Source organism: Homo sapiens, chromosome 20 (assembly GCF_000001405.40).
Source record: "Homo sapiens chromosome 20, GRCh38.p14 Primary Assembly".
Taxonomy (NCBI): domain Eukaryota; kingdom Metazoa; phylum Chordata; class Mammalia; order Primates; family Hominidae; genus Homo; species Homo sapiens.
In genome coordinates this window covers 62,923,974-62,937,984 of record NC_000020.11, presented here as the reverse complement: position 1 = coordinate 62,937,984, position 14,011 = coordinate 62,923,974, and the positions used below count along the sequence as shown (strand labels likewise).

Below are 14,011 nucleotides of genomic sequence, written 5' to 3'. Positions count from 1 at the left end.
CGGCCTCCCGGAAGCGCGGAACCTCAGCTTCCGTACTTGCGCAGAACTCCCCTCGCGGCGACCACGCACTACGGGTTGGCGCCAGAGTCAAAAGGCGTCGGCCCTCTGGCAAGATGGCTGCTGCGGAGGCGTTGGAGCGCGGAAATCTGGAACCGGGATGGCGACGTCTACACTGAGTCGGAGGCGAAGGTCCCAGCTTTTTTCCTGTCGTTTGCGTGAGGCCGCACGGGGTGGGGCGGGGGAAAGGCGCCGGGTGTCCGCGGCCGCCCCTCAGACGGGGAGGGAGTCCCCTCCCGACCGGCGGCCTTCCAGGGCTAGTGTCCCTGAGGTCCAGGGAGAGACGGCTGACCCGAGACCGGGCTGGGCGAGAGCTGTGCTGTCTGCGCGTTGAAGCGAGTTCCCCCGCTTTACTCGAGATGTTGTTGAGCGCGTCCTCACTCGAGGCCAGGTGGGGAATCAGAAGGGCCCTGCCCTCAGGGCGCCTCCCATGGGCTACGCCGAAGGGCGGGACGCGGCCAGGGCGCGCGGGACAAAGGAGACCCCACTTGCTTGCGGGGCGGAGTCCCGGCGGCGGCGCGGGGCAGGGCCGGGGTTACTCGGTGACTGGAGACCCTCCCGGCAGGAGCGCGGGTTGAGGCCGCACTTGGGTATTTGCGCGTTTACTTGCTTATTGCCTGTCCGCTCAGGAGGAATGCGAAGTCTGTCATTGCAGGGTCCCATGTTTCCGTTGCTGGGAAGTACCTTAAAATATTTGATAGAGCCGAAGGAAGAAATAGAGTCCTTGAGGGGCAGCTCCTGATTTCATCTGTGAGGAATTCACGGGACGGCTTCTTTCTGAAGTCAGGGGTGAGGTGGTTTCGTGTGTTTGCTTACAAGCGAGCTGAACAACGTGTAAGCTATGTCGGTCGGTCTACTCAGCGACAGTAAGTCCAGTTCGGCAAATAGGTTGGAGGAGACTGATTTTGGACATTTTCCGTTAATCGAAAGAGCTAAATCTGCAGGTATAAGGTCTTGACAAAATTATGCTTCATATGCAGAGGCAGTACATGCCAGTAATTTTTTCATTTGCAACTACATAACCCTATGGGAAACAGTTATTGGTCTTTATTTAGTTATTTATTTTGAGACGAAGTCTCACTCTCGCCCAGGCTGGAGCGCAGTGGCGCCATCTCGGCTCACTGCAACCTCCGCCTCCCGGGTTCAAGCGATTCTCCTGCCTCAGCCTCCCGAGTAGCTGGGACCACAGGGGCGCACCACCACGCCCAGCTAATTTTTGTATTTTTAGTAGAGACGGGGTTTCCCCTTGTTGGTCAGGCTGGTCTCAGTGTCTTGACCTCGTGATCCGCCCGCCTCGGACTCCCAAAGTGCTGGGATTACAGGCGTGAGCCACCGCTCCCGGCCTATTTTGATTTTATTTTATTCTATTTTTTGAGAAGGAGTCTCACTTTGTTGCCCAGGCTGGAGTGCACTGTCATGATCTCGACTCACTGCAACCTCCGCCTCCTGGGTTCAAGTGATTCTCCTGCCTCAGCCTCCCGAGTAGCTGGAACTACAGGCACCCGCCACCACGCCCGGCTACTTATTTTGTATTTTTAGTACGGGTGGGGTTTCACCATGTTGGCTAGGCTGGTCTCGAACTCCTGACCTCAAATGATCACCCACCTCGGCCTCCCAAGGTGCTCGGATTACAGTCATGAGCCACCGCATCCGGCCTATTTTTATTTTTTAAAGTTTTTTAGAGACGGGGTCTTGCCTTCTTGCCCAGGCTGGTCTCGATCTCCTGGGCTCAAGCCATCCTCCCGCCTCGGCCTCTGGGAGTGCTGGGTTTACAGGCGTCAGCCACCATGCCCAGCCTGAACGTCAAGGAGAAAGTGTGCAAGGGGATGCACGAGCAGAAAGCTTGAGTGCTAGCGCCTTAAGGCGACATTCCTTAACATTCCAGTCCAAAGAGGCTGTCTCAGTGCCTGCCTGTGGGTCACAGGTTAATGCTCCTCCTCCCAACAGCCAACCGGTTACCAAGTCCTGCTCGAGCCCCCTCCTTAATCCTCTCTAGAAACTGGCTCCTTTGTGTTGTTTCCCAGCCTCTTCCACCATAACGTGGAAGCCATCATCTTTGCTTTTTGGATTGCCAGGATGTCTCCGTAACTCCTGTTGAGCTCCAGAAGTCCTGTCACTACCTCTCACATAGCAGACAGGGTGATCTCTCCAAAAGCCATCACTCATTGACTCTATCCTTCTAACATCCCTTGGGGACTCCCCAGTTGCCTGTGTAAAGTTAGCGCAGCTATAAGTCTGCACTCCTGATCTTACTCTCTGCTCCAGCCATCCCAGCTGATTGGAGGTTTTCTCATGTCAACAAGCTTTGTTATCGCTGTGCTCTCAGTCTGGGCCCTAGCTAACAGCCTTCCCTAGGCTAACTCCTGCTCACCTCCTCAGTAGAGACGTGGCTTTCTCGGGGAAGTCTTCCCTAACAAAGCTGGATTGAGTGCCTTTCCTTTATGCTTGCACAGAATCCTAACTTAGCTCTTCGTAGCTCTTAGCACACGGTCCGTGTGGTTGCTGTCTGATGGGATGTCATGATTCAGCATAAAATGGTAAGCTTCATGTGAGTTGATTATGGCTAAATCGTAATAGGAGCTCCATAAATATTTATTTGTTGAGTGACGAAGGAATAAATGAGTGAATGATTATGAGGATCTTAACTGGAAGCAATACTAGCAAAAATGGAAAGAGACCTTCAGTCAGGATGGAAATGAGCAGTCCTTGGTGACTGACAATTTGTGGGAGCTAAGAAGGAAGACCAGAGTGATGCGGGTGAGTAGCCCAGCTGATGAGGTGGTGGCACCAACTGAGAATGATCATGAAGAAGAAGGAGGTGCAACAACGAGGGAAAGGTGGTGAGTTCACCGTGGGCCTCATTCAATTGGAGGTGCCTGTGGGACACATCTAAAGCTCAAGGGGAAGAGCAGGGCTAGAGTTGAGAGTTGATGGGTACAGTATTCAGAGGAAGCCCATGGAGACAAGGAGTGGATCAAGTCCAGAATGCAGAGCTGCAAGCTGTATTCACTAAGGAAGAAGCTGCCTATGAAGGGTAGCAAGAAAGTGGCCGGGGGGTCTGACAAGAACCAGGGGCTTCAAAGGCGCTCCCTGAAGCCACAGGGTGTCCAGTTTCGAGAAGCTATGTTAGCAGTTTCCAGGCGGCAGGGAAGTCCAGGGTGAAGGTGCCAAAACTCCCCATTTGATGGTTTTTGGTGAGAGAGCAAGAAGTTGAGAGATGTGATGGGAATGGGAAACATTGGAGTGTGGTGAGCAGGGGTGAGGTGAAGACAGCGTAGTATGTTGAAGGTGTTCAGAAGCCATTAGGGCCATGCACTTATGTACTGAGAAGTGAGCAGTGAGCTAGATGCCACAAAACGCTGCAGCAGCAGGTGAGACTGAGGAGCAGGGAGGGGGGTCAAGGATAATTTCTCAGCTTCTGGCCTATGAATTTATAGGGTGGTGGGACCATCCTCTGGATAGGGAACGCCAGAGAAGAGCCTGGAAGTATGTAGTAGGGAGGTCAGAAGTCCTAAGCTCATTTTGCATGTGTTAGGTAGGTTTTGAAGTGCATTTGAGGCATTCACGTGGAGATGCCAGGGGAGCAGGTGAATGATGGTGCCCAGATCCAGGCAGAGATAAAGGCAACTACAGCCAGGTGTGCATGAAGTCTCTGTGGAGAAGGGATGGGTGGAGGGAGAGGAGGAGAGCCTGGGCCAGAGCCCTGAAGCCACCAGCATGGAGGCTCACCAAGAGTGCAGGAGAGCAGGAAAGAGGTAGGTGGGTCCCGGGACAGGAGAGGGTGCAGGGCCACACGGGTTGGCATCTGGGACAGTGACAAGGACTTCAGCCTGCTGGATTCATCAACTGCCTGAGCTTTCCTATGACAGAGGTGGGCATGTGGATGAGAGAAACCAAAGGCTTGGCCCTTACAGTCAGCTGAGGGGCAACCAGGTGTTCAGAGCTTCCAGTGTCTTGCAAGCTGAGGTGGTGGCTTTGAACTTGAGTTGTTTCATATTGAAAGAGATGAACAGAAAGAGGAGTGCTAAAGGTATATTAATCTTAAAAGAACATTAATGAGTTTTTAAAAAGGGGAGAGCAGTTTGCCCAGGCTGGAGTGCAATGGTGTGATAATGGCTCACTGCAACCTACACCTCCCAGCTAATCCTCCCATGTTAGCCTCTTGAGTAGCTGGGACTACAGGCGGAAGCCACCACACCCAGCTAATTTTGTTTATTTTTTGTAGAGGAGAGGTCTCACTATGTTGCCCAGGCTGTTCTCAAACTTCTGCGTGCAAGCAGTCTTCCTGCCTCAGCCTCCCAGAGTGCTGGGATTACAGGTGTGAACCACTGCATAGAGTGCTTCCTTTACTCAAATCATAGAATGTTTAAAAACCAGGATATCAGCCATGTTTCAAAACCACATTATTCCCATGGATGTTTTGTTTTACTCTCAAAACCCAAAAGCATAAAATCAAACCCCTACATACTGGAGACTTCAGGCTTTCAAAGAGATTGGGCAAATCAAACCACCTTACTTTTCAGGATAATTGATAAACCCATCAGTTGTTGATGCTTAGAATGGTTAGCAGAAGTAGGTAGGAAACACTCAGACCTCAATTTTCATGAACTTCACTTTTCACAGTATTTTAAACAATTAGAGATGTTGGAAAGAGGTAAGGAAGAATTTTACTATTTAGTCTGCTGCACATATTCTTTTGTTGTTGTTTTTTTGTTTGAGACAGAATTTCACTCTTGTTGCCCAGGCTGGAGTGCAATGGCACGATCTTGGCTCACTGCAACCTCCGCCTACCGGTTTAAGCGATTCTCCTGCCTCAGCCTCCTGAGTAACTGGGATTACAGACATGCGCCACCACGCCCGGCTAATTTTGTATTGTTAGTAGAGATGGGGTTTCTTCATGTTGGTCAGGCTGGTCTCGAACTCCAGACCTCAGGTGATCCACCTGCCTGGGCCTCCCAAAATGCTGGGAATACAGGCATGAGCCATGGCGCCTGGCCTGCTGCACATATTCTGACACCATGTGTCTGGTGAACCCAGACCCTGTAAAGAATCTTCACTGGTGATTGTTTGATATAGGTGACCTTCCCCCTCCCTCTTTTTGCCTGATTTTATTTCCCTTTCTAGATTATACCACTAAATCAGAAAGCACTGAATATTTTGTAAGTTTGTTTGGGTGAGAGCAAGAATAATCTTTTCTTGATTTTTATTTTTATTTTTTTAAAACCTTTAACTCCTGCTGAGGTTGAGACAAACCGTATCTAGCATACTGTTACCTGAAACAAATGTGGTAGGAGGGAAGGTGATACAGTCCTGCCATTGCAGACCAGTGGGAAAGGCCAAAGAGTATTTTGAGTAGCAATGTACATGGTCAAAGCATTGTTTATGTACTATTTCATTTGAGTTTGATTATGTAGTTTGAACCTGGCTGGTCAGGATTTGATAGACAGTTACTGGTTTGGGATCTGACTTTTCTTTTTTATAAAAATTAACAAAAAATATATGTAAATATACACACATACATGTGGATAGTTCTCTCTGTGTCTTAAGTTATTTGTATGCATGCAGCTGTTGTGATCACGTGTCTGATGGGCAGGTAGAAGTAGAAATAAGAGTTCCTATGTTTCCCAGGCTGGCCTTCAACTCCTGGGCTCAAGTGATCCTCTCTCCTGGGCCTCCCAAAGTGTCAGGATTACAGGCGTGAGCCACCGTGCCTGGCCCTACATTTACTCTTTAAATACTTTCCTATTGGAATGAAAGAGGCAGGGTGGCTCACACCTACAATCCCAGCACTTTGGGGAGGCTGAGACAGGGGAATCCCTTGAGGCCAGGAGTTTGAGACCAGCCAGGTCAACAAAGCAAGACCTCCCTGAAGGGAAAAAACCTCCAGTTCCCATTTGGGTGTCTTTTGGAAACTGCTAATACCTCAGTCTTTGTTGTTGTTGTTGGTATTTCCTCCAAACACACTCTTTCTCAGTTTTACCATTTTGTTTTTGTGAACTAAGCAAGAGCAGGAATTAATTTATATAGTTATTCATATCTGGACAAATTCTGGAAGGTTGCTGGAGTCTCTTTCACTTCTTAAAGTGTTTTCATTTAAGAAAAAAATCTTTAATTGTAGCCTGCACAATTGTAGCCCTATCCTTACCCCTAAGGTCCCATACTCCCAAGGCATTGAGGTTAGGTAGAAGGCCCAAGAATGGGGCCGGGGCCCATTGCGTCTGGAATGCAGTGTGAACTGATGGCTGTCTCTGACCTCATGGACATCCCTGCACCTTCCTCCTGGTGCTCGCCAGCAGGTGCAGGAATTCAGTCGTCTATGGGTTCGTTTCCCCTTTTTCGCGGGTCTCTATTCCGTGGTGTGAAGAGCCTGTAAGGGTAAATGTCCTATTTGGGTACAACCACTTTACTCTTATTCTGTCAGAATCTGTCCAAGCGTTTTTTTGGCTTGTTTGCTGTGTTCCTTTAAAGATGGTTGAGATAAAACCAGTCAGAAAAGAAATAGTTTTTTGCCCTATACTTAACTAAAATATTGATTTATTCCAAAGTTGTTTTTATTTACTTTTCACTGACCTCAAAGAGAAAACTTAGACACCTTAGAGAAACATGAAACATTCTCAGAGGAAGGAGTGATGAGCATGGTTCTGTATTAATGTGTTCACTCCTTAGCAGAAGATATAGAAATACTGCAGCTTAGGCCAGGCACTGTGGCTCATGCCTTCGGAATCCCAGCACTTTGGGAGGCAGAGGCGAGTGGATCCCTGGAGTTCGAGACCAGCCTGGGCAACATAGTGAAACCCCATCTCTACAAAAAATACAAAAACTAGCCAGTTGTGGTGGCATGCACCTGTAGTCCCAGCTACTCGGGAGGGTGAGGCAGGAGGGTTGCTTGAGCCTGGGAGGCAGAGGTTGCAGACAGCCAAGATCACACTACTGCACTCCAGCCTGGCAACAGGGTGAGACCTTGTCTCAAGGAAAACAACAACACAAACTGCAGCTCATTCTTTCTAAAGGTATCTGGAAAATGACAGAACTGAGAATAACATCCAGATTCAGTTCCCTGCCATGAGAAGTTCCTTTTGCCTTGTTTGTGGATATTGTTGTCAGTTCATTGCAGCTGTCTTGAGTAACTTACAGAGGCTAATGTGACCAAAGAAAGATCCATCATCCCTTGTTGTTTTTCTAGTTAAAAGTCATAGCACAGGTTTCTGGTAACATACAAATGATAAGACACTGTCCATAATTCTAATTACAACAATTCAGTTTGTATAGTAATTTGGTACAGCATTAAAGGGGGTGATGCCCTCCTCCCATCTCATTTCCCTCCCTTTTTCCTATTTCACATTTATTCTTTTGTCTAAAAGACAGAAAATTGGTATGATTCTCATATGCCGCATAGAACGTGTAGCTCCATCACATCCCACAGCTTTCTAGAGGTCTTTGGGGTTGGAACACAAAGTTTAACTTCTGTTTCTGTTTTTCCTTGAATTCTTTTGTTTCCTGGCCCTTTTCCATCTTGCCGGTTCCCCTTATGTTACCCACTATCGTCCATGCTCTCCCTCTGTGTTGGTTGTCTCAAAACAGCATTCAGCGGAATTCATTGAGTGGGTGAATTCTGTGAAGTTGCCTTTTCTGGCAGTGCTGTTACTCAGTGATGCACAAACGTAGCATTTGCCCTTTGGTAGACAAAGATCTGTGTTTTTTTTTTTTTTGTTTGTTTGTTTCTTTGAGACGGAGTCTCGCTGTCACCCAGGCTGGAGTGCAGCGGGTTCAAGCGATTCTCCTACCTTAGCCTCCCGAGTAGCTGGGATTACAGGCGCCTGCCACCACGCCCGGCTAATTTTTGTATTTTTAGTAGAGATGGGGTTTCACCATGTTGGTCAGGCTGGTCTTGAACTCCTAACCTCAGGACCTCAGGCGATCCACCCACCTCGGCCTACCTAAGTGCTGGGAACAGGCTTGAACCACCGCGCCTGGCAGATCTGGTTAGTATTCTTCAAAGGAGCCAAAGGCAGTGCTTTCGTGTTTGCTTTGAGGGGAAGTAGTGGACGATTTGATTGTGACACCTTTTAGCATTGGTGAGTTGATTTATCTAAAATTAACTGTTAAAGTTAGCTGGCCTTATACAACGTAAAAGTAAAGAAAATTCATCAGTTTCTCAAAAAAAAAAAACAAAACAGTGGCTGAAGTTTTTGTTAGCAATAAGAAAACAGTAGGCATATATATATATATATACACTTTTTCTTTTTTCTGGGAATCCACGTTCTCCTCCTGGGTAAAGGAGAGGGTTGTATTTTGTGATTCCTTTTTCCTGCCCCAAGTGGCTGGCGATACAGCCCCCGGCGCGCCGGGCACTGAGGCCCTGGAGCACAGCGTGGGGGGCCTGGCACAGACACGACTCACGACCGGGCCGATCTCCGGCCAGAAAGAACTATGTTCCGGCCGCCCGGGTCGCGGGCCCGCGGTGCATCCCTGCAGGCCTCCATCCTGCCTCGGCAGAGGTCTGCAAGAATCCTGTGGGTGTCCCCCGGAGCGGGCAGAGGAGGAGCCCAGCGCCGAGGCCCAGGCGCGCCCCGCCCTCGCCCCTCCCCGTGCCCCTCCCCCGCTGCTCCCCTCCCAAAGGCCGAGACCTGGACGCTGCCCGGTGGCCTCGGCGGGGGCCCTGTCCTTGGCCGCTGCCTCTCTGAATCCCAGGTGAGAAGAATAAAACGTCCTGACGCTGTCCGGCTTCCGGTTCTTGGAGAGGACGGGCCGTCTCTGCCGAGAGAACTGTGCGGAATCAGGAAGCGCTGGTGCTCCTTCGCTTTCACGGGACTAAGCGAAATCCGGCTTTAAACGAAGTAAAGCCGGCTGCCTCCTGGAGTATTTTTGTCATAGTATTTTTATTTTGGGTCAGGGTATTCTGCTGCGGACCCTGAGTCTTAGGAAGGAGGCTTATAACAGCGGAAAGCCATTTTTTTTTAAGAATTGCTGAGTTTTCCGGATTGTACTTTCAAAGACTTTCCCTGAAACTTTGCGTGGCATGGGGGTTGCAGAAACTGGTGTCTACACATTACAAAAGTGTACTGTTTACACCTATTTGTGATGCACCCATCGTGTTTTTCTCCATGGACCACCTATTAAGCTTCCTGCTGGAGCGCTCTTGGCCCCCTTCCTGCTTTCTGGGCCACATCCTGTTGTAAATCGGTGCTACTTGTGGGGTTTTGTTTGTGAATTGGGGATATTTAAGGAACAATTTATTGAAACAACTGAAGAGTTTGTTTCCTCCTTTGGGTTTTACTTTTAAAATAAATTCGGTTAGGAAAAAGTATTCTTTTGCTAGTGGAGTTCAAATTCAAATACCCAGACTGTAGATTCTCCAAATGCCTTTCTCACCAGGGAGGGCAGCTCCCAGGAATAGTGACGGCAGGTAAGCTGGGATAAAGCTGACTTCGTCACCTTGTAGGTGGGGAAGGCCAGAGTGGATAGTCTGGCCAGGCCTCCACAGCCGAGCCAGCTTCTGCTGGGGGGCGGGGGAGATGAGAACGAGAGGCAGGTTCCAGTATCCTCTGGACTTGCAGGAAGGAAGGCATTCTGCGTATCGCTGAGCACTGCGGTGAGCTGAGTGAGGGTTCCCTTTCCTCATGTTTTCCTGCCTTTTTCTTCCTCTTGGTTCTCTTGTCCCTGAGCCGCCTTGTCCACTCTTTCTATTCCCTTAGTGCCTTTCCATCTATCTCTCCTGAGTGCCCAGCGTGAAACTGTACCCAAGAGTTAAAATCTCTTAAAAATCTCACCGTCTTGCAGAAACAAATTGTGGCTGGTTTAAAGATCCTCAGCTAAAGAGACTGGGCTGAGGTTCCCCCATACCAGTTGGATTTAGAGAGAGCCTCTTGTAGGGAGGCCTCATGTGGTCTTCACCTGGGCCTCAGCATGTGAGCCCTCCTTTAACAGAGAGCTTGCCCAAGATCTCACTGCTTGTTAAAGGTGGTCTCAACCCCGTCTGTCTTCTAAGCTTCCCACTACCCCATGTCTGAGAGCAAAAAGCCCTCTTTGCAACCTGAGATCACACTCAAGATGGAAGACTGTCAAGCCCATCCCTGCCAGATTCTATTAATGTGGTCCTAATGGGCCACACCAGCAAAAACAAGCTGCGTTGTATTCCTTTGAAGAAAACTAAGTCTGCCTCAGAAACTAGCAGACCCTGTAATCTTCAGCGGTATTATTAAAAAGCACACCTGCCTCAAAGCCCCTGGTTCATCCATGGAAGCATCGCAGAAGCCTCTGTATTAGGGGCAGCTTTACGGCACTCTGGGCCCCTTTTACTCTTGGCCAGGGCCAACGCCAAAGGCTAGATGGTCCATGCTTCCAGGTAGCGTATCACTGTTCACAGAAGCAGAAACAAGTAATGGGGCCACCTCCACCCCCCCCAGGTCCCTGCCCTCGGAGCAAGTGGCCAGTGCCCATGGTGCCTCGAGGCAACAGCTGCCCCTCCTGCCCCCTCCCAGTCTCTTTCCTGCAGTATCTGGGGACAGACAGGTGATAGAGTGTCACTCTAGTTACTATTGAGCGAACTGAAGAAAATCCACATGGAAGGTTGACATCTACCATACCTCACTTTCCCCTCTCTTGATAGTAAGTGTCTAATCTTTCCCTCCAACCCCTGTGGGCAAACATGTCCATGCGTTCTTTGAGTTCTAGCTACTGGTCAGTAGTTCTGAGTGTAGGATTGACATGGTGGGAGGAGGCAGAGCTTTGGGACCACACCGCCAAGGTCCCTGGGGCCTAGAGGTCCAGCGTGCCCGCCTCCCTTCCTCGCTGTGCTCCTTTCTCTCCCCCCCACCCCCACGCTCCTGGTTTCTGGAGCCGAGCTTGGGGTGGGGAGGCAGCAGGTAGGGTCTTCAAGTTGGAGAGAAACCCCGCCCACACCTGGACCTCGCCCCTCGCTGCCATTCCCAGCCGAGGCCGTCAGGGGCCTGCGTTTTGAGAAACACAATCTGGAAGAGAAAACCTGGGCCTTTTCTTCTTTTATCCCCTGTCCCCGCCCCCCTACACCTCTTACAAATTTAGCCCAGGAGCTTTCTATCCCCACCGACTTGAAGGGTTTATCGGTCTTAAGAGCGAAATCCTGGCGGAGTGCAGTCCCTCGGGGCTAGCATCCACGTTCCGCCTGCGCCCTGCCCGGGCTGTTCCGAGGGATCCCCGCAAGGGCACTGCCCCAGCTTTCACTCTTGGAGTCGGGGAAATAAGGTGTCCACAAAGGATGCAAGCAAGTCATTGTCAGTGCAGACCCGAAGGGCGCGTCCGGAGTGCAGGTATGAAAGACGGGCGCATGCGCGCAGTCCGGGGCCGGGCTTCGCAGCCCGGGCTCCGCTCTAGCCCCGCAGCGTCTCGGTGGCCGGTCTCGTCCTCCGCCCGCCGCGCGGGGGCGCCGCTCTAGCCCCGCGCCATCTCGGTGGCCGTCCGCCCACTCCGCGGCGTTCGGGGAAATGGCTGCGAGACCCTAGAGGCCTGCGGCCTGCGGTAAGTGGCGTCCCGGGCGCCGGGTAGAAGAGCCGGCCGCCGCTTGGGCCGCCCTCGGGAGCGGGGCGGGGCCGGCATCGGAGCCCGGCTGGCGAGAGCCGCGGATCCCGCACAGGCCGCTCCCGCCGAGAAGATGGCGGCCGCGGAAGGGAAGGAGCGGGCGGGCGGGCGGGCGAGCGGGCGGGGCCGGTCAGAGCCGCCGCGGCCTGGGGCGCGGGCCTCAGACGCCGGCCCTGGTGGGCTGCGTGAGGTCGAGGGGACTGGCGAGCACTCGGTGGTCGCGGCTGGAACGGTTCCGAGGGTGGGAGTCGGGGCGGCCGCTCGCGGGGAAGAGCGCAGGGCTGGCCTGGGCGAGTGCGGCCCGGGGCTCGGGGGCTGCGTAGCTGGCTTGTAAGCGCAGCTGGTTTCCCTAGGCATTCTCGGGGACCTCGGCGCTTCCTCCCGGGCCTTGGGTGCGGTCGGGGTGGCCGGCTTAGCTTCTGGCGTGCCTTCGGGGGATTCCGGCACTGCAGGGGCGGCTGGCGCTGCAGGAAGCGCGAAGAGCCCGGATTCGCTTTTCTGAAGAGTGTGTCCTTACCTCCCCGCGCTGGTTTTCAGTTTTTTTGTGGAATAGTTTGTTGCGTTGGTTTGTACTGGCCGTATTTGTGACACATTTTGCCTTCCAGTGACCCCGGAAGCCGAAAGGGCCCGCTCTTGCGCTCGGCGGGAGGGGTGCTCGTGCTGCCTCCGCTGCGGCGTCCGGGGCTCCTTCTCGCGGTTCTGAGACAGTGGAGGTCAAGGCCGGCTTTTCTGCTCTAAATAAAGGACTTTAATATATAAGTTTAGAGTTTGGGCCACAGGTAGCAGTAGCTTACTGCGTTACCAGTTATTGAAAATACTCTTTAACTTGTGCCTGGGCCTTCGATATCCGTGTCATCTGTCTGCTGATGGAATGAGATTTGAGCCTAGTGTACTCAGGGACTTAGAGGAGGGAAAGGCAGATGGGAACGTCTTTTCGGTATATTCACATAACTTTGCTATATACCCCGTGTTCCATGGTTTCCGTAGGGCCACATATGACTTGGTTGAAATACAGTTCTGAGAAAGGTCCTTAGCAGTGCCTTTTAAGGAGTAAATACAGTCTTTTTTTAAATGAGCATTCATTGCTTACTGTTAGCACGAGGGATACAGCAGTGACCAAGGTGGCCCCTGTCCCAGTCCTGGAGACAAGTTCACTGGGGAACTTGAGAGATTATTCCAGCTCCTTCCTTTAAATCAGGTGTTGCCAACTCGTTTACCTGGAGCCTAGGGCTCTTTAGTGGCCCTTTGGGTTGCTGTTAGTGTATGTGTGTCTGTGACTATTTCACTATTTTAAATACGGCATAGACATCTCAGAAGTGTCACCCAGGAAGACAGACACAGCCCTGTTGTGAAACTCCCTGCTTAATGCACACTTGTTTTCCTACTTGCTGTGTACATGGGGAGGAGATGTCTGTTCTTGTAGACTTGTTTCAGCAAGTTTCATAAGATACCTCTTGTTTTGGAAAAGCGCGTATCTTGAATTTTTTCAGGCTTTCCACCAGAGGCTGTCCCTTATTAGTAGTTGATTGAATTCAGACTATGTCAAGCAGAGCTCATTGTGCTGTGGTGAGAAGACAGGGCACAAATAAGATAATTTGTGATTGACTGCCCAGCCGTACCCATGGTTACCAGACAGCCCAGCCCATGTTGCATGTGCATATGTGAGCCTCGCAAAGGCTTGTCTAGGACGTGCGGATCATCGGTTGGGCCTTGGAGGGTGCTGGGGTTTCTTCATGTAAGGAGGAAATGATTGGAATGGGCATTGGCTCCCGTTTTGTTCGCGGTGAAGTTGGCAGGTTCTGCTGTTGATACTGTGAGTTTTTCTACAGCCTTAGGGTCATAATTCCCTTAAGGTCAGTTCTGTGGAGCCCAGTAGGGTGCTTCTCTTCAGTGTTTATTTTTAAGCTGTGCCACGTCTTCATTGTTTGGAATCTCTGTAAACAAGACACGTTTTTCCTTTTTATATGCCTGTCCCATAATACCAAGTGGCTTATTTGGCTCTTGAAGAGCTAAGATTGAAAGTGTTTAACAGGTGACTCCCTACTATCTGTGGGTCCCTGCACTGTGCCCTTGCCTGAGAGGTCTCATCTCTCTGGCAGGCTCAGAAGACCACTAGAAAATTCTCTCTAAACAGAGTCTCTCACTTACATTTCTTATTTAAATGACGGGGTCCCTTACAGTGGATACTAAGATCAGCCTTTTTATGACTACTATCAAATGATGTGTGTTAATTGCATTACAAAAGTTCTATAATTAACAGTTAATGGAAATGTACTAATTGGGAAAGAGGAGGTCAAAGAACAAAGTCCAGTTTGCTCATTTCATGTACGTGTACACAGTCATCTGTGAGACAGTCTGTGTTGTCTAGGCCTCATTTTATTTTTTGAGTAGTAATTTT

General features: G+C 50.7%; 1 protein-coding gene across 6 annotated transcripts in view, besides 11 other annotated features; it reads left to right on the top strand.

Annotated features, from left to right (window-relative positions):
• Nucleotides 81-14,011, top strand: part of DIDO1 (death inducer-obliterator 1) — a 60,162-nt gene continuing 46,231 nt past the window's right edge. For 3 of the 6 annotated variants that reach the window (NM_033081.3, NM_080797.4, NM_022105.5), the window contains exon 1: nucleotides 81-189. The gene's annotated coding sequence lies outside the window, so the exon portion shown is untranslated. Of the gene's footprint in view, nucleotides 190-11,479; nucleotides 11,554-14,011 lie in introns of those variants that run through there. The other 3 variants (NM_001193369.2, NM_001193370.2, NM_080796.4) reach the window with 2 other exon arrangements.
• Nucleotides 268-317: a silencer, noted in NCBI's record as "silent region_13135". NCBI's record gives its function as "represses an Ori minimal core promoter by ATAC-STARR-seq in GM12878 lymphoblastoid cells {active_cell/tissue: GM12878}" and the evidence as "EXISTENCE:reporter gene assay evidence [ECO:0000049][PMID:35858748]".
• Nucleotides 588-637: a silencer, noted in NCBI's record as "silent region_13134". NCBI's record gives its function as "represses an Ori minimal core promoter by ATAC-STARR-seq in GM12878 lymphoblastoid cells {active_cell/tissue: GM12878}" and the evidence as "EXISTENCE:reporter gene assay evidence [ECO:0000049][PMID:35858748]".
• Nucleotides 8,600-8,649: a silencer, noted in NCBI's record as "silent region_13133". NCBI's record gives its function as "represses an Ori minimal core promoter by ATAC-STARR-seq in GM12878 lymphoblastoid cells {active_cell/tissue: GM12878}" and the evidence as "EXISTENCE:reporter gene assay evidence [ECO:0000049][PMID:35858748]".
• Nucleotides 8,780-8,869: an enhancer, noted in NCBI's record as "active region_18219". NCBI's record gives its function as "activates an Ori minimal core promoter by ATAC-STARR-seq in GM12878 lymphoblastoid cells {active_cell/tissue: GM12878}" and the evidence as "EXISTENCE:reporter gene assay evidence [ECO:0000049][PMID:35858748]".
• Nucleotides 9,646-10,494: an enhancer, noted in NCBI's record as "H3K27ac-H3K4me1 hESC enhancer chr20:61558843-61559691 (GRCh37/hg19 assembly coordinates)". NCBI's record gives its function as "activates a minimal SCP1, AML or CMV promoter by ChIP-STARR-seq in naive H9 embryonic stem cells {active_cell/tissue: H9 hESC(naive)}" and the evidence as "EXISTENCE:reporter gene assay evidence [ECO:0000049][PMID:30033119]".
• Nucleotides 11,293-11,732: a silencer, noted in NCBI's record as "silent region_13132". NCBI's record gives its function as "represses an Ori minimal core promoter by ATAC-STARR-seq in GM12878 lymphoblastoid cells {active_cell/tissue: GM12878}" and the evidence as "EXISTENCE:reporter gene assay evidence [ECO:0000049][PMID:35858748]".
• Nucleotides 11,293-11,990: a biological region, named in NCBI's record as "H3K27ac hESC enhancer GRCh37_chr20:61557347-61557960".
• Nucleotides 11,377-11,990: an enhancer, noted in NCBI's record as "H3K27ac hESC enhancer chr20:61557347-61557960 (GRCh37/hg19 assembly coordinates)". NCBI's record gives its function as "activates a minimal SCP1, AML or CMV promoter by ChIP-STARR-seq in primed H9 embryonic stem cells {active_cell/tissue: H9 hESC(primed)}" and the evidence as "EXISTENCE:reporter gene assay evidence [ECO:0000049][PMID:30033119]".
• Nucleotides 11,803-11,892: a silencer, noted in NCBI's record as "silent region_13131". NCBI's record gives its function as "represses an Ori minimal core promoter by ATAC-STARR-seq in GM12878 lymphoblastoid cells {active_cell/tissue: GM12878}" and the evidence as "EXISTENCE:reporter gene assay evidence [ECO:0000049][PMID:35858748]".
• Nucleotides 11,991-12,604: an enhancer, noted in NCBI's record as "H3K27ac hESC enhancer chr20:61556733-61557346 (GRCh37/hg19 assembly coordinates)". NCBI's record gives its function as "activates a minimal SCP1, AML or CMV promoter by ChIP-STARR-seq in primed H9 embryonic stem cells {active_cell/tissue: H9 hESC(primed)}" and the evidence as "EXISTENCE:reporter gene assay evidence [ECO:0000049][PMID:30033119]".
• Nucleotides 12,333-12,382: an enhancer, noted in NCBI's record as "active region_18218". NCBI's record gives its function as "activates an Ori minimal core promoter by ATAC-STARR-seq in GM12878 lymphoblastoid cells {active_cell/tissue: GM12878}" and the evidence as "EXISTENCE:reporter gene assay evidence [ECO:0000049][PMID:35858748]".